Source organism: Homo sapiens, chromosome 20, assembly GCF_000001405.40.
Source record: "Homo sapiens chromosome 20, GRCh38.p14 Primary Assembly".
In the NCBI taxonomy this organism is placed as follows: domain Eukaryota; kingdom Metazoa; phylum Chordata; class Mammalia; order Primates; family Hominidae; genus Homo; species Homo sapiens.
In genome coordinates this window covers 1,492,689-1,514,439 of record NC_000020.11, presented here as the reverse complement: position 1 = coordinate 1,514,439, position 21,751 = coordinate 1,492,689, and the positions used below count along the sequence as shown (strand labels likewise).

Genomic DNA, 21,751 nt, shown 5'->3' with positions numbered 1-21,751 from the left:
AGGGAGAGAGGGAGTGAGGGAAGATAGATGGATGGATGGATGAATGGATGGACAGATGGACGGATGGATGGATGGGTAGACAGATGGGTGAACAAATGACCAAAGGGCAGCTATATAGATGAAGGGGTAGGTAAACAAATTAATAAAAAGGGTCATGCATTGTCAATAATTATAGTATCATGCAACATGAATTATGATAGGTACAATTCTGTGTACTTAAGATTCAAAGGAAAAAAATAAATGGAGGGACATTATCTAGAGAACCCCAAGTTCCCTTCCTATTGTGACATTCTACAGTTCCATATAAGGAAGAAAAACAGTTACTGGGTGCCACCATGGGCCTGGGACTTCATGTGTGGTTTTATCTCATTTCATCCTCATACCAGTCTTACAAGGTGGGCACCATGCTCCATTTTGCAGATGAGGGGACCTGCCCAATGTCACTTAGATAACAAGTGGTAGAACCAAGAAATCCAGATTCAAACCCAACTCTTGTCACTGCTTTCCAAGGAGCCACATTGCCCAGCATTCTAGACACAGATGGGTGATCTTCACCCATCCTCAATCTATTGCTTCCTGGCCTGTCAGGCCAACGGTTCTACAGTAAAGCCAACCTGATGCCTATGGGTGGTGAGGGAAAGGGAAGAACACATGTGTGCCCTTTCCCAGGTTTGAAATGTGTCCCTGGAGTAGATCGAGGGTTCATTATAAGCACCAAAATGGCCCTGTGAAGACTTTGGAAGATGACGTAGTCCAGAAAAGCCTTTTACAGAAAAGGCTTTTTGTAAAAGGGTAAGTATGCCCAGAGGAGATAAACATCCTGCTCTATTTTTATTATGTAGTTTTACTGTGACTTTGAACCTTTATAGTCACAGAAACAGAGATATTCTCCCTCAGATATGCATCTCCTTTTCAAAATTTTCTACTCACAATAGAGGTGCTTCAGCTTCAATATTCCCATTCCTGGGCTCCAATGTTGAGGACCTTGAGGATGTCTTGGCCTTCTTCAATGATGAGGGTATCATGAAACAAGAATTATAATTTACCTCCCCCTTGAAGCAGAGCCAGGACTAGGATGAGGCAAAGTTCCTAGGAAACAAAAAGTAAGACACTCATTCTGAGGCCTGAGCAAGCGCAGTGTCAGCATGTATAACACCTTGTGATATGGTTTGGCTGTATCCCCACCCAAATCTCATCTTGAATTGTAGTTGCCATAATCCCCATGTATCATGGGAGGGACCTGGTGGGAAGTGATTGAATTGAATCATGGTGGTAGTTACCTTCATGCTATTTTCATGATAGTGAGTGAGTTCTCACGAGACCTGATGATTTTATAAGGGGTTTCCCCCACCTTCACTCTGCACTTCTCCTTGCTGCTGTCATGTGAAGAAGGACATGTTTGCTTTCTCTTCTGCCTTGACTGTAAGTTTCCTGAGGCCTTCCCAGCCATGCTGAACTGTAAGTCAATTAAACCTCTTTCCTTATAAATTACAGTCTCGGGTTGTCTTTATTAGCAGCATAAGAATGGACTAATACATCTTGTCTCTACATTTTGTGCCCTAGGTGCCCTAAGTTTCCAAGTCTCATTAATCCTGTCCTCTCCTGTTCATCTGCATGGTCACCCAGACCCTTGTCAATACTTACCTAGGTCACTCCAACAGCCTCCTTCCAGGTCTTGCTCTGGAGCCTCGCATCCATCCTTTACATCAAAATGGCCTCTTAAAACATTTTCTTGGGGTTCCAGTGACTCACACATGTTACCCTAATACTTTGGGGGTGCAAGGCAGGAAGACCACTTGAGAACAAGAATTCAAGACCTGGGTATATATTGCCTTGGCAACGTAATGAGACTTGGTCTCTACAAAAAAAAATTTTTTTTAATTAGCTGGGTGTGATAACACATACCTGTTAAGTACTCAGGAGGCTGAAATGTGAGAATCACTTGAGCCCAAGAGGAAGAGTCTACAGTGAGCTGTGATGGCGCCATTGCACTCCAGCCTGAGGGACAGAGCAAGACCCTGTCTCAAAAACGTGTGTGTGTGTGTGATATATACATGTAACATTTTCTCAAAAACTTTAGCTAGTTCCTCATTCCCCCAATCATACTTCAAAAAGGACATAGAGGATGTCCCCAAATCATACATCAAGAAGGACATAGAGGATATCCCAGGTGTTGCATACCTTGAAGCCAGAGGAAAAATGAAGCTGCCAGAAAAGTCACAACTTGAACATAAAGATTGCCTATCCTTTTAAGGAAACCACCCATATCCTAAGGAAGCCCAGTCCAGAGTTTCCAGATGAACATTTGTTCATTTCAAAGAAGGCTATGCCTTTGTTTATTCCACACATATTCCTGAGCGCACACTATATTTCAAGCACTGTGTGGGCACTGAGCAAACATTAGTAAGCATTGGTAAAAGTGGTCCTCACCCTTGTGGTGAGGGTACAGTCTGATGAGGACAGATAGAAAGGAAAGAAAGGTGGGAGTGATACAGGGGAGGGAGGGAGGGAGGAAGGAAGAAAGAATTTCAAATGTGATGAGTGCTCTGAAGAAAATAAAAACAGTGCACAAATAATGGGGATTGCTAGGATAGAGATCTTCACAGAGTTAATAATGAAGTGCTGCTAGCTAGACAGAATGGTAAGCTAGTAGCCTTTCTGAAACAGGAACATTTGGGCTGACATCTGGAAGTTTCAAAGAGCCTGGGAAATACCTTCTTGTTGGAGGGAACCTATTATGCCAAACTTTAAGGTATGAAGGAGCATGGAAGGTTCAGGAAATGGTAGGGAACCAGTGGGGCTGGAGAGTGTGAGCAATGGGACATGGGACAATGCTGGAGGTATGGGCAGGAGACAGATTACACAGGGATACTGGTCACAGTGGAGACTTTGGGATTTATTTAAACAATGGGACGACATTGCAGAGGTAGAGACTCTCAGATGTCTCACTGCCCAGATTGCAAATTACACCAAGCAAATACAAGATTTACATTTTAAGAAATCACAATGACTTCCGTGGAGCAAGTAGACAAGGGGAAAGCAAATAATCAGAAAATTCAGATGTGAGGTTATTGCAGTAAACCCAGAGTCAATGGGTAATCTAAGCTAGGTGGTGCCAGCAGAGATGGAGAGAAATTGACTAACGGGAGGTGAGCCTAAAATTGGAAGTGACAGGACTTGCTTGGGGACTGAATGTGAAAGGCAATGGAGAGGGAGGATTGGAGATGACTTCATGACAAGGTTGAGCAATGGATGAGATGAGGAAGACAGGTGGAGGGATGGGTTTGGTGGTGGAATGGAACTGAATTAACAGTTCCATTTTAAACATGTTAAATATAATGTTGGTTCGTCATCAAAGTGGAGCTGTTAAGTAGGCACACGGACAGATGCATCTGAAGTTCAGGAGACGGGTCAGAGCTGGAGAGTTATTTTTGGAGTCATTTGGTCTGTTGCCAGGGCAGCCAATCAGCAGAGCTAAAATATCCAGATTTTCCTTTTCCATCCTTCTGGTCTCCCAAAAGCCCTTTGATACAATGCAGTCTCCACGCTCTGGTGCAAAACAAGTATTAATACTTATGCAGGCATGGACTGGAAGAGAAAGCAGAAAGACAGAATGCTTTCATTTGTCAAGACGGCATGATTATAGATATATTTTTCCTTTCTATTTTCATATCTACTGAGAGTTGTTGGCATATTTCTTCAACAAATCACTTTAAAAATAATAAAATATGGTCTGAACTAGTGGTGAAAAGGATCTGATATCTGCAGGGGCTGGAAATGCCCCCTTGTTCCCTGTCACCCTGGTCTGTCTTGGTAATCTTCAGTAACCTCAATGGAAACTGGGAGAAGGTCCTGCAAAGAGAGTAACAGAGACAGAAAGCATTCAAGGTGAGCAATGAGACATCTAAGACCCACTGCACCTTTAGCATCATAGCCAATCTGAGCTGGTAAAGCTTTTGGTACCACTTTGTACAATCTCTTCTCCCCAGTCCTAGTTCACAAATGTGGAAATTGTGTCCTAAAGGTATTAGGTGATATGATCAAAATAAAACAACACAACTCTCAAGCCACAATTCCAGGTGTGCAAAAGTATTACTTTTTAAAACTTCTCCATAATCTTTTTTTTAAATTTTATTATTATTATGCTTTAAGTTTTAGGGTACATGTGCACAACGTGCAGGTTTGTTACATAATTTATATTTTAAACACCCTACCCATGAGCTTAATCATGGTCAATTTAGGATCTCCTCCATCAAAACGGGGTCCCCCAGCCTCCGCATCCCCAGTGGTGTCTAAGGTGCCTTGGTGACATCAGTCCATGCAGGTATCTGCTAAGATGTCTGCCCCCTGTGAAGCTCCTGGCAGTAGATCCACACAGGGGCTTCTAGCAATAACTTCTTTCTGATCCCAGAGCTTCTCCACACCATTGGATTTCAGCTCCACCCATAATCTTCTTAAGCACACTGGAAAATGTGACTACTCTGGCACCCCCAGAAGATTCTGCAGGATGGTCTCAGGTCCTCTCCCCCTAAGTTGAGCATAGATCCCATTCTGCTCTTCTGCTGCCAGGCCAGGCTGGGAGCTGGAACTCCAGGAACCATGTCACCAGGAAGGAAGACACAAGTCCTCCTAACTCCCCAGCTCCTCCAAATTTGACCTGGGGTTTGCGGGAGCAGGTTGTAGTACTCTTGTCAGGGGCCCATCAATGTTGGTTCTCTCAAGCACTCCTCCCCTCTCCCACAAACTGGGCAATGCCCCCTCAGGTAATCAAGATGGAGGTTGGGTCAGGGGTAAGTGGTGAGGAAGGGGCTGGCTCTGCAGAGCCCATATTTTTCCAAACGTTTGCATCTTCCATCTGGATCTCAGCTTTTGCAACTTAAAGGTGCATTTGCTCTCTGTTTCTGCGGTGACAGCCTCCCATGAGGCAGATGCATCACATTTTTCTGCTGCCTAATTTGGCCACTGTCAAACATACAATACTGAAGGAAAGGCATTGGTGAAAACAGCACTGCCAGAGCTCTGCAGTGACACCAGCAGGCATGTTTTATAACGATGCGTCAGAATCCTCTACACGCTAAAGTCGAGTGAATCTTAACCCTGTGAACATACTCGAATCTTCAAACTATACATTTTTTATGCGTGAGTTATACCTCAGCAAAGCTAGAAAAGAAAAAAAAAGATGTCTGCATTAACCACGCAAAACACACCAATTCCCTGTGTGCCTTATCCCTATAAATTTCTAATACTCTTCCATTAGTAAAAGGTGGGAAGAGAGAAAAGAATGAGTTTCATGAAAACCATTCGGAACCCTCATTTTTTTTCCAGAGTCCCTGATGTAAGTGATCTCAGGCTTGGCAAGAAAAAGCAAAAAAGTCAGATAGAAGGAAAGTTCAGACTTATTTATTATTTATTTACCTTGTTCTCAGAAACTAAAGCTCAAAATCCACAACCTGTAGTTTCTGTGATGCTTTAATAAAGGTGATATTGGACTCATCCATATACAAGTGTTTTTTGTTTGTTTATTTGTGTGTTTGTCTGTTTTACCATATTCATTCTCTGTGCACAGAGACAGTGAGCTACTTGAATTTTTTCCCCAGAAGCCTCCAGACAACTCCCCTTCACATCTCAACATGTGTCCCAGCCTCAGGGGACTGGCTGCCATAACTGCCTTGGACCAATGATGATTCATCTCCTGGGGCTGGGGAAGGGCCTAGGTTTCCCTGAAACTGTTGCTGGGTGGAATGGCTATTCTGTTAGCAAGGCAGGAGGGACATTTGGCTGTGCAGAGGCCCAAACAAGGGTATCTTCCAAAATGGATGGTGAATTCAGTGAGCTATGGAAAACTGCACCCTCCTAGGATGCAAAGCCCTAGACATTTCCAGGCCTGTGAGGTGCTGAATTCATGCCAGAGAAGATTTTGGCTTCAAGAACCAGAACTTTGGGAGCTTCATCAAATATCCCCAAGGAAGAGCTTGTCATAGAGAGACTGCAGCAGGTAGTAGAACCGGCCAACTTCAAATGGGACTTTGTCCAGTTAGGCCTGGACAAAGAGCAATGGCCATAGTGACCCATAAAGACTGAGAACCAGAATTCATCTCCTTTGTCTTGGAAGGCAACAGCCCCGGTGCCCTGATCCAATCCAAGAGTGGAGTGGGGAGCTATGGAAAATAGCTGCTATTCACTTTCTCTCCAACCATGGTAGAGGCACATGCTCAAACTGGATTTCATAGGATTAAGAAAAAAAAATCTTAACATTACATGCTTATTACAAAGGAAAAAAGAATACAGTGGAAATGCCTGGAAGACATCACAAAGTAATCAAAGTGAACATGACTAGTAATGGGACCGATTGTGTGCCTTCTGATTGGAAGCAATGAGAACACAGCATCACTTCCAGATATTCCTGCCAAAGGTGCCAAAACCTGACTCTCATCATGAGGAAGTGTTAGAAAAATACAAAATTAGGGGCATTCTACACAATAACTGGCCTATACTTTTAAAAAGTGTCAGGGTCATAAAGTAAAGGAAAGGAGATTTTTTTTCTATATTAAGGAAAACTAGAGAGGTATGGCAACTAAATGTAACTGGATCCTTTCTCTATAAAAACATGTTATTGAAACAATTGGCAAAACTTGTAGGGAATCTAAAGATAAGATGGTAATAATGTGCCTATGTTAATTTCCTGATTTTGATGGTCTGGTGGTCATGCAGGAAAATGTTCTTATTTGTAGGAAATACGCACTGAGATATTCAGGGGTGTCTTAGTCCGTTTGGGCTGCTATAACAAAATGCCATTAGCTGGGTAATTTATAAACAACAAAAGCTCATTTCTCACATTTCTGGAGGCTAGGAAGTCCAGGGTCAAGGCACCAGCAGGTTCACCATCTGGTGAGGGTTTGCCCTCACTTCCAAGATGTCACCTTGCTCCCTGTCCTCACATGGCAGAGGGGATAAACGCTGTGTACTCACATGACAAAAGATGGCTGAGGAGCTCTCTTGAGCCTCTTTTCTAAGGGTACTAATCCCATTCATGAGGGTGGATTCCTCATGACTTAATCACTCCCCAAAGGCCCTACCTCTTACTACCATCACATTGGCTATTAGGTGCTAACATGTGGATTTGGGGAGATACCAACATCCAAGCCATAACCAGGGACGATAAGGCAATATGCCAGCAATTTATTCACAGATGTTTCTGAAAAGAGGCTCTTTATCCCACACTTGTAACTTTTCTACCAGATGAAGATTGTTTCCAAAAAAACTGTAATTAAGTAATATTCAGGTATTATGGAGCAATTCATATCTGCTGCAAAACAGATAGGTAGCTGACATACACTGAAAGCGTGCTGTGTGCCAGACTGTTCTGAGTACTTTCCGTGTTATAAACTGCGTTACTCTCATAACAACCAGATGAGGTATAACCTATACTTACCTTAATTTTGCAAATGAGAAAAAATGAGACACAAAATTTTATTGACTTGTCCAAGGTTGCACAGCTCCTAAGTGCCTGGCTGGAGTTTGAACCCAGGCAGTCTGGTTCAAACTCCCTTGTTCCTAACTACCACATACTCTCTTCTGATACTTTTGTCCAGTCCAATGGCCTTATATATCATTGAAATATAGCTCAAGGACTCAAATTTATTTCTCCAGCTGGGACTTCCCCCATGAATTTCATGTCCATCTGTCTACTCAACAGCTCCATTTGTCTGCCCAATAATATCTCAAAGCTTACATCCCAAAATCTGGCCTTCTGCTTATCCCCCAAAACTCTGCTCCACCCACAGACTCCCCCATTTCGGCTGATAAGAACTCCATCTCTCCAGCTGATGAGCCAAAAACCTAGGAGGTATGCTTGATTCCTCTCCTCTCTTATCCCGCTCCCTTTATGTCAGGAAATTACATTAGCTTTAAAATATATTCAGAATCTGACTATTTCTCACTATCCCCATTGCCAGATTTCACCCTTCATCCTCTCGTTCCTGGATTGCTGCCATTAGCCCCTCACTGGTCTCCCTATAGCCAGCATAGGAATCCTTTCAAACAAAGGCCAGATCATGTCCCACCTCTTCCCAAAACTTGCTACAGCTGCTCATCTCACTGCAAGTAAAGCCAAAGTTCTTACCTTGGCCCTCACAGCCCCTCACCACCTGCTTACCCCAACCCCCTTTCCCTGGTCTATATTTCTTTCCACAGGCCTTATCACTTTCTAAGATACTATATCATTTACTTATTTACTTTATTTATTATTGTGTATTGCCTGCCTCCCCAATTGGGATGTGTACTTCAGTTAATAAGGACAGTGAGTTTTGTCTGCCTTATTCACTGATGTATCCTAAGCACCAAGAATAGTTCTGGTACATAGCGCATGCTAATATTTGTTGAATGAATCAGTGACTACACCCTACAATCTCTCATATTGGGGTGAGAGCAGAAATGAAGAGAAGGATGAATAGACAGCAGGAGACAGAGGGGGAGAAAGAAGAGAGAGCCCCTAGGTCTAGGGCTGCAGAGAACATTCCTTAGTCCTGCCAGCTCTAATAGCTTGTCCCATGATCTGTGGCTAGAAGTTATCACAATATTTATGAAAATCACTCTTTGGGAAGGTAGCAATGAATACTGGATAGTAAGAAGGAGTTTGTGTGCTTGTTCTGGCCTCAAACCCAGGGCTGATCAATGTCTACCATTTCCCTGGCTCCTGAAAGATGCATTCTCTGATGTGGAGCATTGTCATGTGTCATTACCAGGTTCCAGGGAGGGAAAGTGAAGAAAGAGCTGCCCTTTGCTTCACCTCTTCTGAGTAACAGGGTTGAAATTCTCTATCTTCTCTCTGGCTCCAAGCACTCTCCTGCCCTGCCCCTCCCTTCTTAGGATAAATCCAGTTAACAGAGCCTGAGGCCCCAGGCACCATGACTGGCCACATCCAGTCCACCCACATCGGTGGCCCCTGGCCAACTTTACTGCCAACCCTACTTGTGGGATGCTCCTGTGTATAGGATAAAGCACACAGAACAAGGTGCTGGGAGGCTGAACCCAAAGGCTACTAACATGGCAGACCAAGACGAGCGAGAAAGGAAAAGCCCATACAAAATAACAACAACCTTCCCCAATTTCTTTCCAAGTCAAGTTTACCCAAACTTGTTGAACAGTCTCCCTTTGTGTTCCTGTCCCTGTACCCAGTTTATTGAACAAGCTGGACTCAGTAGGGTTGAAGCAGAAAGCTGCTTCATTCTTCTTCACCACTGCCCTTTCAAATCTGCCAAATTATTCCTCCTAAGAGGCAGTAATGGTACCTATTATTCAGGTAATAAAAATTGCAATCTCTCATTCAATATGAGTGATGGTGGGCTTCTTGGCTATTTTCCACCTTGCTCTTCCATTCTTCTTTTCTCTCACTGCCACCTCTGGAGCAGAGGAAAGGGGAAACTAAGGACTAAGGCTGGGGTGATTTATGACTTGCCCATATTCTTGCCACCTCATCAGGCCAAGGGCAGGATTTAAACCCAGATCCCCCTGACCAGAAGCAGAGGTCTTTCTGCTCCACTGCAGCTATAACACATTTATCTCTCTTTCCCTCTCTATAACACACACTCGCCATAACACACGTATCTCTCTCCCTCTCTCTCTCTCTCTCTCTCTCTCTCACACACACACACACACACACACGGTGTGGGGAAGGCGTTTAGGTCCTTCCTAGCTAGACATTCTGCTGCCGAAATAATGATGCCTGAATATTTGGTGAGAACAAAAGCGCTGCATACATAGGCATGTCAAAAGGAAGCCTAAAAATATTTAACAGACACAAAAAATAGTCGGAATCCAGGTGTTCAGGCTGCTTTAGGGAGGTGTTGCTTCCCGGGATGTTGGGAGACTACCAGATAAATGCTCACGAAACAGCACAGCTCAGATCAATTACATCACGTAGAAAATCGGACAGAAGAGGACTTGCTTCCTTACTGATAAAAGACCTAAGACTAAGGCTGACCTTGACCAGGGTATACAACCAGGGTGATTGAAAGAAATCCCACTCCAAGTGGAGCCGGGCTACATAGGACCTGGGGTGGAAGATAGATCCAAGGAGCAAGACGGAGGGATCTAGCTCCAATTTCTAAGTCCTGGACAAGGGAAACCTGTGTCACTGTGTTGTACACTGGAAACTGCTCAGCTACGTTGAGTAGTGAAGTAAAAAATGAAGTATTAATTTAATGAAAGTACCCAGCATGGCCCTGAGAAAGTGCACTATTTTATTGGGAAAAAAAAAAAACTTTGTTAAATATTATAAGGTGCTCAGTAGCATTAATAATCATGCAAACTGGGAAGAAACCCCAACTCCTGACTTCTCTTTGGGAGGGGAAAGGAGTGGAACATTGATCCAATATTTTGACTTTTTGGGGTGCTGCCAAAGGACTAGTTTCCATCTTGCCTGAATTTAAATGCTGACGGGAATGAGGACCAGGTTTGAGGCCACTGAAAACGAAGATGATCAACATGACTTGGTCTAGCACCAAAATATGCAGTATCACAGATAAATAATAGGTGGAGCTATTAGTTTGTTCTAGCATCAGTCTGCAGTATCACAGACAGAAACTAGGTGGAACTTCAGTACCGTGGCTTACTGCAGCACCAGCCAGACCGCAGCATCATAGGCAGACACTAGAGGGAGCGCTTCAATAGAAAGACCTCTTCCGTTACGTGATTACACACTAAGTCCCAAAAGGGTGCATTCCCAGAGAAGGGTTGACAGGTCTCCAGATTCTCTAGCCAGGCTGATTGGAGAAAGTCCTCCCTGTAGAAAACCAGACCACAAAGACTGCACGGGGTAGCTGAGTTTTCAAATGCCAAAGTACCAAGAGAAGATAAGAAGACATATAAAGGGACAGGAAAACATGGCCTATTCAAAGAAACACATTACATCTCTAGAAACTGACCCCAAAAAAATACACGAATTATCTGACCAAAAAAATGCAAAATAATAATCATAAGAATTTTCAATGAATTAAAAGAGAGTACAGACAGACAACTAAATGAAATCAGGAAAACAATGGATGAACAAAAAGAAAATATCAAAAAAGAGATAGAAGCTATGAAGAAGAACCACACAGAAATTCTGGAACTGCAGAATACAATAACTAAATTTAAAAATCCACTAGAGGGGCTTAGGAACAGATGTTACCAAGAGAAGAAAGAATCAGCAAATTCAAAGACAGGAGTTTTGAAATTACTGAAGCAAAGGAGAAAAAAAGAACTAAGAAAAGTAAAAGGAGCATAAGAAACTTATGGGACACTATGTGTAACATTATGGAACAACCTACACACTATGAGAATCTAAGACAGACAAGAAAAAGAGAAGGCACCACAGAGACTTTTAAAAAAAATGATGGCTGGAAATTTTTCTAATCTGAGGGAAAAAGTAGACATACAAATTCAAAAAGCTCAACAAGCTCCAACCAGGACGAATCTAACAGCATTTACACTAAGACACAATTAAACTGTCAAAAATAGAAAAGAGGCTGAAGTGGGAGGATCACTTGAGCCCAGGAATTTGTGGCTACAGCAAGATGTGATCACGCCACTGCACTCCAGCCTGGGTGACAGAGGGAAACTTTGTTTTAAAAAAAAAATGACAAAGAGTGAATCTTGAAAGCAGCAAGAGAAAAGCAACTTGTCACATACAAAGGAGCTCCTATTAAATCATCAGCTAAAGTCTCAACAGAACCCTTGTAGGCTAGAAGGAGTGGGATGTGATGAGAGAAAAAATAACTGCCAACAAAGAATACTATATAGTACTAAACTGCCTTCAAAATGAAGGGGAAATGAAGACTTTCCTGGATAAACAAAACTGAGGGAATTCATCACCATTAGACCTGCCCTGAAAGAAGTGCTGAAAGGAATCCTTCAAGTTGAAATGAAAAGATGATGAATGGCAACACAAAGCCATACAAAAGTATAAATCTACCAGGTAAACATAAACATAGAGACAAATATAAAATCTGGAAGTATTGTAACATAGCTGTATAAATCACTTTTGAATTTGGTATAGAATTTTAAAAGCGAAAGCATGGGAAGTAACTAAAAATCTATGTTGATGAATACACAATATAAAAAGAGGTAATTTGTTTTGTTACAGTAACATAAAGAGGGCAGAGAAGTAAAGAAGTAGAGTTTTTATATGCAATTTAAGTTAAGTTGTTATCGGTTTAAAATATCTTGCTATAACTTTAAGTCTCTTTGTGTAGTTGCAATGGTGATGACAAATAAAATATGAATAGAATACCAATGCTCTTCAACTTATGATGGGATAACATAAGAATAAACCCATCAGAAGTCAAAAATATTGTAAGTCAAAATTGCATTTGATGCTGGCAACACAGCATACTGTCCCTGACTTATGTTCAACTTACAAATTTTCAACTCTACAATTATGCAAAATAATACACATTTAGTAGAAACCATAACCCCATTGTAAATCATAGGAACTTTTTATCTTATGCTGGGCTTACATTCAGGTACTGTCTGTATACACAAACAGAATTGAAAAGAGAATCAAAATATGTCAGTACAAAACATACAAGAAGGCAGCAAAGGAGAAAAGGAGCAAAAACCACTGGACAAGACATATTAAAATATATTGAATGTATTATCCATATATATAGACAAGTAACAAAACGAAAATAGTAAGTCCTTCCATGTCAGTAATTACTTTAAAGGCAAATAAATACCTCAGTTAAAAGAGATAAATGAGAAAACATAAAAACAACAGAGCAAGATGATGGAATAGAAGCCTCCAGCAATCATCTCCCCCAGGAAGGACACTAATTTAACAACTGTGTACACACAAATAAAAGAGCCTTCATAAGAACTAAAAATCAAATGAGCAGTTACAATACCTGGTTTTACTTCATATCACTGAAAGAGGCACCGAAGAGGTAGAAAAAAAGTCTTGAATAGCCAACACCACCCCTCTCCTAACCCCTGGCAGTGGCAGCATGGTGTGGAGAGCATTTCTGTGCACTGGGGAAAGGGAGATCACAGCAGTTGTGAAGCATTGAACTCAGTGCTGCCCTATTATAAAAGAAAACAAAATGGGACCAAACTCAGCTGTTACCCACCCAAAGAGGGAGCATTTAAACAGCCTTAGCCAGAGGGGAATTGCTAATCCAATCTCAGTGGTCTGAACTTCAGTTCCTGCAAGCCTTACCACTGTGGGCTAAAGTACTCTGGGGCTCTAAATAAACTTGAAAGGCAGTCTAGGCTCCAAGAGCTACAACTCCTAGGCAAGTTCTAGTGCTGAACTGGGCCCAGAGACAGTGGACTGAGGGAACATGCAACCTACTGAGACACAAGCCAGGGCAGCTAAGAAGGTGCTGGCATCACCCTTCCCCTAACCCCAGGCTGCACAGCTCACGAAAGAGGCCTCTTCCCTCCACTTGAGGAGAGGAGAGGGAAGAATGAGGAGGACTTTGTCTTGCATCTTGGATGTTGGGAATAATGCTCAAAATCCTAAGGAAATTGAACACTCAAACAAGGATTCTTAGCAAAGCAATTTTACTTCTGCACAGAGGGGTGCTTCTCCTTGGCCAGTCACCATGAGAGCACACTTGAACAAGAGCCTTTATTCCTGAAGCAAGTCCTGCCCCTGTACCCTTTCCCCATTGGCCATGGTCAGGCAGTACAATCTAAATTAACCCTGGTTGGCTAAACATTTGAACTTTTTTTCGGATAAGGAGGGTATGTAAGGAAGAGAGGCGAAAGGGGAAGGGGTGTCTGCAGTGAGCTAGAGAGCAAGTCTTCTTGCCAAATAAGGAAAGGAATGTGAGCTGGTACTGATAACACCTGGTACTGTGGCGTGTCTGGGCATGTGACAAAGACAGAAAGGAAGAAAAAAGAGAAAAGTGAAAAAGGGGTGGGGAGGTACTATGAATTAAAGAATAAAGGATTGATCAGGCTATTTGAAGAGAAACCTCATCATATCCCACATGGATATCAGCTCAACCACAGCAGGATAGGGCACCGTGAGGCCCCTTTTCAGGTCCTAGCTCCAGGATGATATTTCTTGACACACTCTGGGCCACAAGGGAACCCACTGCCTTGAAGGAAAGATCCCACTCCTGGAAGCATTCATCACCTGCTAACTAAAGAGACATTGTGCCCTGAATAACCAGCAGCAATACCCGGGTACTACGTTGAGGGACTTGGGTGAGACTTTCTGGTTCAGGTGAGACTCAGCACATGACTCACCACTCAGTCGTGGTGGCTATGAGGCAAGGCTCCTTCCACTTGAGAAAAACAGAGGGAAAAAATATGAAGGACTTTGTCTTGCACGTTAGGTACCAGCACAGCCACAGTGGGGTGGAGCATTAAGTGGTTTTTTGGGGTCCCCAGTTCCAGGACTTTGCTGGTGAATAGCATTTCTAGACCTATCCTGGGCCAGAGGGAAGCCCACTGCCCTGAAGGGTGAGTTCCGGGCCAGGCAGCATTCACCACAAGCTGACTGAAGAGCCCTTGGGCCTTAAAGGAACATTGGCGGTAGTCTGGCAATACTCCCTATAGGCTTGTGGTGGTGTTGGTCATGGGGTGAGACTCCTCTGCATTTGGAAAAGAGAAAAGAGTGGGAAGAACTGGATCTTGTAGTTTGAGTGCCAGCTCAGCCACAGTACGATAGAATGCCAGATAGATTTCTAAGGCTTTTTACTCTAGTTCTTGGCTCCCAGATGGCACCTCTGGACATGCCCAGAGCCTGAGGGGAACTTGCCATCCTGAAAGAAAGAACACAGGTCTGGCTGGCTTTGCCACCTTCTGATTATAGAGCCCCAAGGCATTGAGTGAACATAGGCCACAGCTAGGGAGTGGTTACAGCAGGCCTTGGGACTCAGTACTGTTCTGGCTTCAAGTCTGACCCAGCACAGTCCTAGCGGTGGTGGCCACAGGCTGCTGTTTCACTCCACTCCCAGCTCCGGGTGACCCAAAACAGATAGAGAGACACCATTCATTTGGGAGAAAATAAGGGAAGAGAACAAGAGTCTCTGCCTGGTAATCCAGAGAACTCTTTTGGATCTTGTCCAAAAGAAGTTATCAAGAAAGTATCTCTATTGGTCTGCAAGAACCAGAGTGTTACTGGGCTTGGAGTGCCTCTTAAAGCAGAAATAGATGCAATTACAACACCAAGTCTTTTTTAATATCTGGAAAGCCTTCCCAAGAAGGATGGATACAAACAAGCTCAGACTAAGAAGACTGCAATAAATACCTAACTCTTTAATGCCCAGACACCGAAGATGCATTTACAAGCATCAACACCATCCAAGAAAACATGACCTCACCAAATGAACTAAATAAGAAACCTGGGACCCATCCTGGAGAAAGGAGATATGTGACCTTTCAGACAGATAATTCAAAATAGCTGTTTTGGGGAAACTCAAAGAAATTCAAGACAACACAGAGAAGGAGTTCAGAATTATATCAATAAATTTAACAAAGAGACTGAAATAGTTAAAAAGAATCAAGCGGAAATCTGGAGGTGAAAAATGCCATTAGCATATTGAAGAATGCATCAGTGTCTTTTAATAGCAGAATTGATCAAGTAGAAGAAAGAATTAGTGAGCCTGAGGACAGATTATTTGAAAATACACAGTCAGAAGAGACAAAAAAAGAATGAAAAACAATATAGCATTCCTACATGCTCTAGAAAATAGCCTCCAAAAGGCAAATCTAAGAGTTATTGGCCTTAAAGAGGAGGTAGAGAAGGAGATGGGGTCGAAAGTTTTTTCAAAGGGATAATAAGAGAGAACACCCCAAACCTAGAGAAAGATATCAATATCCAAGTACAAGAAGGTTATAGAACACCAAGAAGATTTAACCCAAAGAAGAATACCTCAAGTCTTCTCTTAATAATCATTTAATAATCAAACTCCCAAAGACACTTAATAATCAAACTTTATCTAAAGGTAAAGAAAGGATCCTAAAAGCAGCAAGAGAAAAGAAAAAATGACATTCAATAGACCACCAATACATCTGGCAGCAGATTTTTCAGGGGAAATCTAACAGGCTAGGAGACAGTGGCATGACATATTTAAAGTGCTGAAGGAAAAAAAGCTTTTACTGTAGAATAGTACATCTGGTGAAAATATCCTTCAAATATGAAGGAGAAATAAAGACTTTCCCAGACAAGCAGAAGCTGAGGGAATTCATCAACACCACACCCATCCTACAAGAAATGTTAAAGGAGTACTTCAATCAGAAAAAAAAAAGAATGTTAATGAGCAATGAGGAATCATCTGAAGGTATAAAACCCGGTGGTAATAGTAAGTACACAGAAAAATACTGAATATTGTAACACTGTAACTGTGGTATATATGCTACTCTGATATTAATAGAAAGACTAAATGGTGAACCAATCAAAAATAATAACTACAAAAACTTTTCAAGACATGGTACAATAAATGTAGTTAGAAGCAACAAAAAGTTAAAAATGGGGTGGGGAGAAGTTAAGGCATAAAGTCTTGATTAATTTTCTTTCTGTTTGTTTATGCAAACAATGCTGTTATAGCTTTAAAATGGGTTACAAAATAGTATTTGCAAGCCTCGTGGAAACCTCAAACCAAAAAATATACAACAGATACACAAAAAATAAAAATTAAGAAACTAAACCATATAACCAGAAAAGCTCATCTTCACCCACAAAAAAAAAAGACAGGAAGGAAAGAAAGAAGAAAGAGAAAACTACAAAACAACCAAAAAACAAATAACAAAATGGCAGGAGTAAGTCCTTACTTATCAATAACATTGAATGTAAATGGACTAAAAACTCTCCAGTCAAAAGACACAGAGTGGCTTAATGGATTTAAAAAAAAAAAAAAAGGCCTGCCAGGCACAGTGACTCATACCTGTAATCCCAGCACTTTTGGCCAGGCGTGGTGGCAGGCGCCTGTAATCCCAGCTACTCAGGAGGCTGAGGCGGGAGAATTGCTTGAACCCGGGAGGCGGAGGTTGCAGTGATTCAAGATCATGCCACTGTACTCCAGCCTGGGTGACAGAGTGAGATAACACCTAAAAAAAAAAAAAAAAAAAAAAAAAAAAAAAAAAGCCCAATGATTTGTTGCCTACAAGAAATCCATTTCACCTCTAAAGACACGTGTAGACTGAAAAGACAAAGCTCACTATGTGATGATAAAGGGGTCAATACAACAAGAAGATATAACAATTTTAAATGCATATGCACCCAACACTGGAGCACCCAGATATATAAAGCAAATATTACTAAAGCTAAAGAGAGAGAAAGGCCCAGTGCAACAATAGTTGAAGATGTGAAAACCCCACTTTCAGCACTGGACAGATCTTCCAGACAAAAAATCAGCAACGAAACATCGGACATAATGTACACTATAGATCCAATGGATCTAACAGATATTTACAGAACATTTTATCCAACAGCTGCAGAATACTCTTTTTTTCTCAGCACATGGGTCATTCTCAAGAATAGACATATTAGGTCACAAAACAAGTCTTAAAACATTCAAAAAATTGAAATAATATCAAGTATCTTCTCTGACCACAATGGAGTAAAACTAGAAGTTAATAACAGAGGAATTTAGGAAACTATACAAATACTTGGAAGTTAAATAATATGCTCCAGAATAACCAGTGGGTCAATGAAGAAAGTAAGAAAGAAATTGAAAAATATATTGAAAGAAATGATAATGGAAACACAACATACAAAAACTTGATATAGCAAAAGCAGTATTAAAGTTTATAGCCATTAGTGCCTACATCAAAAAAGAAGAAAAACTTCAAATAAACAACCTAATGATGCATCTTAACTGAAAAAGAAAGAGCAAACCAAATCCAAAATTAGTAGAAGAAAAGAAATAATAAAGATCACAGCAGAGGTCAGGCGTGGTGGCTCACACCTGTAGTCCCAGCACTTTGGGAGGCCAAGGCGAGCAGATTATCTGAGGTCAGGAGTTTGAGACAAGCCTGGCCAACATGGTGAAACACCATCTCTACTAAAAATACAAAAATTAGCTGGACGTGGTGGTGGGTGCCTGTAATCCCAGCTACTCGGGAGGCTGAGGCAGGAGAATCACTTGAACCCAGGAGGCGGAGGTTGCAGTGAGCCGAGATCATGCCACTGGACTCCAGCCTGGGCAACTGAGAGAGACTCCGCCTCAAAAAAAAAAAAAAAATCACAACAGAAATCAATGAAATGGAAATAAAACAACACAAAGGATCAATGAAACAAAAAGTTGGCTTTTTGAAAAGTTAAACAAAATTTACAAACCTTTAGCCAGACTAAGAAAAAAAGCAAGAAGATCCAAATAAAATCAGCAATGAAAAAAGAGACATCACAACTGATACTGCAGAAATTCCAAGCATCATTAGGAGCAACTTTATGCCAATAAATTGGAAAATCTAGAAAGAATAAACAAATTCCTAGACACATACAACCTACCAAGATTGAACCATGAAGAAATCCAAAACCTGAACAGACCAGTATTAAGTAACGAGATTGAAGCTATAATAAAAAGTCTCCCAGTAAAGAAACAGTGGCTTCACTGCTGAATTTTACCAATCATTTAAAGAAGAACTATTACCAATCCTACTCAAACTATTCCAAAAAATAGAGGAGGAGCGAATACTTCCAAACTCATTCTATGAGACCGGTATTACCCTGATGCCAAAACCACATAAAAACACATAGAAAAAGGAAAACTGCAGACCAATATCTCTAATGAATATTGTTGCAAAAAATCCCAACAAAATATTAGTAAACTGAATTCAACAATACATTAAAAAGCTCATTCATCATGACCAAGTGGGATTTATTCCTGGGATGCAAGCATCAAGGATAGTTCACCATACACAAATCAATAAATGTGATACATCATATCAACAGAATGAAGGACAAAAACCATATGACCATTTCAATTGATGCTGAAAAAGCATTTGATAAAATGTAACATCCCTTCATGATAAAAAAATCCTCAAAAAAACTGGATTTAGGAGGACTATACCTCAACATAGTACAACCCATATATGACAAACGCACAGCTAGTATCGTACTGAATGAGGGAGACTGAAAGCCTATCCTCTAAGACCTGGAGCATGACAAGGATGCCCATTTTCACCACTGTTATTCAGTGTAGTAATGGAAGTCCTAGCTACAGCAATCAGAGAAGAGAAAGAAAAAAATGGCATCCAAATTGTAAAGGAAGAAGTCAGATTATCCTTGTTTGCAGATGATATGCTCTTATATTTGGAAAAACCTAAAGACTCCAAAAACAGGCAAAACTAATCTATGGTGATAGAAATCAGAGGTGGCTGCCTCTGGGGCCAGAGATTGAATGGAATGAAACAAGAAGGAACTTTCTACATCTTGGGGTGGTTATTACACAGATGTATATGGATGTAAAAGTCTAAAAATTCACTGAACTGCACATTTAAATGTTTGTGCCTTTTTCTGTATGTAAGTCAGAACTCCATAAAAATTTAAAACAAAAACACCAAAAAGCAAGCCATGGGATTTGACATGAAACAGGAAAAGGGAGTAAGAAAGGCAAACCAAGCCACAAGGCAGGACAAATTGCCAATAGCAGAAAATCAAGTTCGAGGACCTTAGAGACTTTAGTATTGAGACACTAAATGCTTCCTCCTAAATGAAAAGAGAAGAAATGAGGCTGGATGACTTTTGTGTTCGGTCATAAAAAGCCATGCTTGGTTCTCATGGGACTTGTGGCATTTGGTGTTTACAGACCATCGGAAATCCTCACTGCTTTATCTCTCAAGTTCACTGGTAGCTCTTGGAAAATCAGGAATCTGAGAGACTCACAGAAACTGCTGCTAATGATGCCAGCTGCCTGTGCTTTAGAGGTGATTTATAGAAGACAGGCAGCACTGCAAAACCTCACATTTGCATAAATTAAATCCACCAATTCTCACGTATCTGCCCCCTCTTCATGGCTAGAGAAGCAAGCATGCCTCTCCTTTTACCTTCCAAATCTAAGCAAGAACCTCTCCTTGGTTCATTATTCTCTCCTAGAATAATGATGGTAAAGAGTTACAGAAAATGCAGTTCTTAGGCTTTTAGAACCTCCAAAAAAAGAGGAGAGCATAGAAAAAGTGGAGATAGATGCTGATTGCAAAGACACCAGTGTTGCTCTTTTTAAGACTGGTATTTACTTGATTGCTGCTAAGGTTGAACGCTTTCCCTGTGCTTGCTTAGTATGTTTTCCATTTTATGGTAAACAATCAAAAAGCTGTTGTTTTAACAAAGTTCCATTTTTGTAGTGGAAGGAAAAAAAGCTTTATGGGTAGACTTGTGTTCTATATATACCTCGGGTGCTCTTGTTGAGGATAACTTAACTCAGGCTAGTAATAGACACTATAGTTCATGTGATACCCAAGCACACTGACCAGGAGGAATGCCACTGTTCCTAGTTACTGAGCAATTATCGCAAGCCAGTGCTTCACGCGCAATCGCATTTCATGTGTTTTATAGATGACGTGACAGATATAACATTTTTAACTATTTCCTTTTGCATTTCTCCACCTCCCAGCAGTTTAATTCCTTCCCTGGAAGCTTTTTTCCTATTCTAAGCTGGAGTGTGAGACTTGCTGTCTTGAGGAAGGGGCAGGAGGGATTCCATCTAGAACAAAGAAGGCCAGCTGTTAGGAAGAAGACTGAGATTAGGAAAGTCCCTACCAGAAGGAAAAGAAGGGGAACTCCTCCCCTTATGACTTGGTGAGGAAGTAAGAAAAAGAGGGAGAAGACAGGGGTTGAGATGCTAGAGTCCTGCCAACCCCACAGTCCTGAGGTCCAAATGCTGGGGTGGGGTGGGAATGGAGTTTAGGGATTCCTACAGCATAAGGGATCATGGCCTGTCTTCCCAGGGTGTTCATAGTCCACGACATCACAAAGAAACCATATTCAACCTGGCTTCTGAGCACTAGATCAGAAACAGTAAAGGAAATGAATGTCTTCAAAAACTGGTGACTGTGGTTAACCCTAAGGAAAGTAATGTCTGGGAGCCCTATAAATGAGACACTGAGACCTCTGAATTTTGTACCTGTAGATGCCCATGGCAGATAAATCACAAAAATATCCACAATTCTATACCCCCTCTTTGTATCCACACCTTTTGCAATTAGGCTTTGCAGTTCCCTAACAAGAGGCAAAGTCTATTTTCCATTCCTTGAATCTTGTCTGGTCTTGTAACTTGATGTGGCCAAAAGAATATGGCAGAAGTTTCCTTGTACCTTGCACTGTCTCTCAAAACTGCCCCTTTCATGAGAACAAGACTAAGTTAGTGTCCTGGAAGATGAGAGACCACATAGAGGACAGCTGAGGTACCTGGGTTAACAATCAGTCAACCGCAGTAACAAAGCCACCTAGCCAACCTGCAGCTGACCTCAAGTGCATGAACATTCCCAGCCAAAATCTGCTGAGATGAGAAGACCGAACCACCAAATGGAGCCCTGACTGAATTGTCAACCCACAAAATAGTAAATTAACTGAACATTTAGTTTTTAAGCTTCTAAATTTTGGGGTGCTTTGTTATGCAGCAATAGCTAACCAATACAATGCCTTGCCTATTAAAATAAAATTATTTGTAAGTAAAACTTTAGAAAAAAACAATAGCTGAGAAAGAAATCTGCATAGATGAGCAGGTGATTCAGAAATTCCCGTGTAAGAATGACATGGAAAGTACTGAGGGTCTGGTGGAATCATCTAGGCTTGTGGCCCTTTCAAAGAAGTTTCACT

The 21,751-nt window shown here is 41.4% G+C and overlaps 1 long non-coding RNA gene across 1 annotated transcript in view, besides 2 other annotated features; it reads right to left on the bottom strand.

Moving 5' to 3' along the window:
* Positions 1-1,879, bottom strand: part of LOC105372499 (uncharacterized) — a 37,633-nt gene extending 35,754 nt beyond the window's left edge. Inside the window, exons 1-2 of the long non-coding RNA XR_001754464.2 lie at positions 1,645-1,879; positions 931-1,089 (exon numbers count right to left, since the gene is read on the bottom strand). This is a non-coding gene — a long non-coding RNA (uncharacterized LOC105372499). The remainder of the gene's footprint in view (positions 1-930; positions 1,090-1,644) is intronic.
* Positions 13,309-13,860: an enhancer, noted in NCBI's record as "H3K27ac hESC enhancer chr20:1481226-1481777 (GRCh37/hg19 assembly coordinates)". NCBI's record gives its function as "activates a minimal SCP1, AML or CMV promoter by ChIP-STARR-seq in primed H9 embryonic stem cells {active_cell/tissue: H9 hESC(primed)}" and the evidence as "EXISTENCE:reporter gene assay evidence [ECO:0000049][PMID:30033119]".
* Positions 13,650-13,850: a silencer, noted in NCBI's record as "peak4119 fragment used in MPRA reporter construct". NCBI's record gives its function as "represses an SCP1 promoter by STARR-seq MPRAs in K562 erythroleukemia cells {active_cell/tissue: K562}" and the evidence as "EXISTENCE:reporter gene assay evidence [ECO:0000049][PMID:32103011]".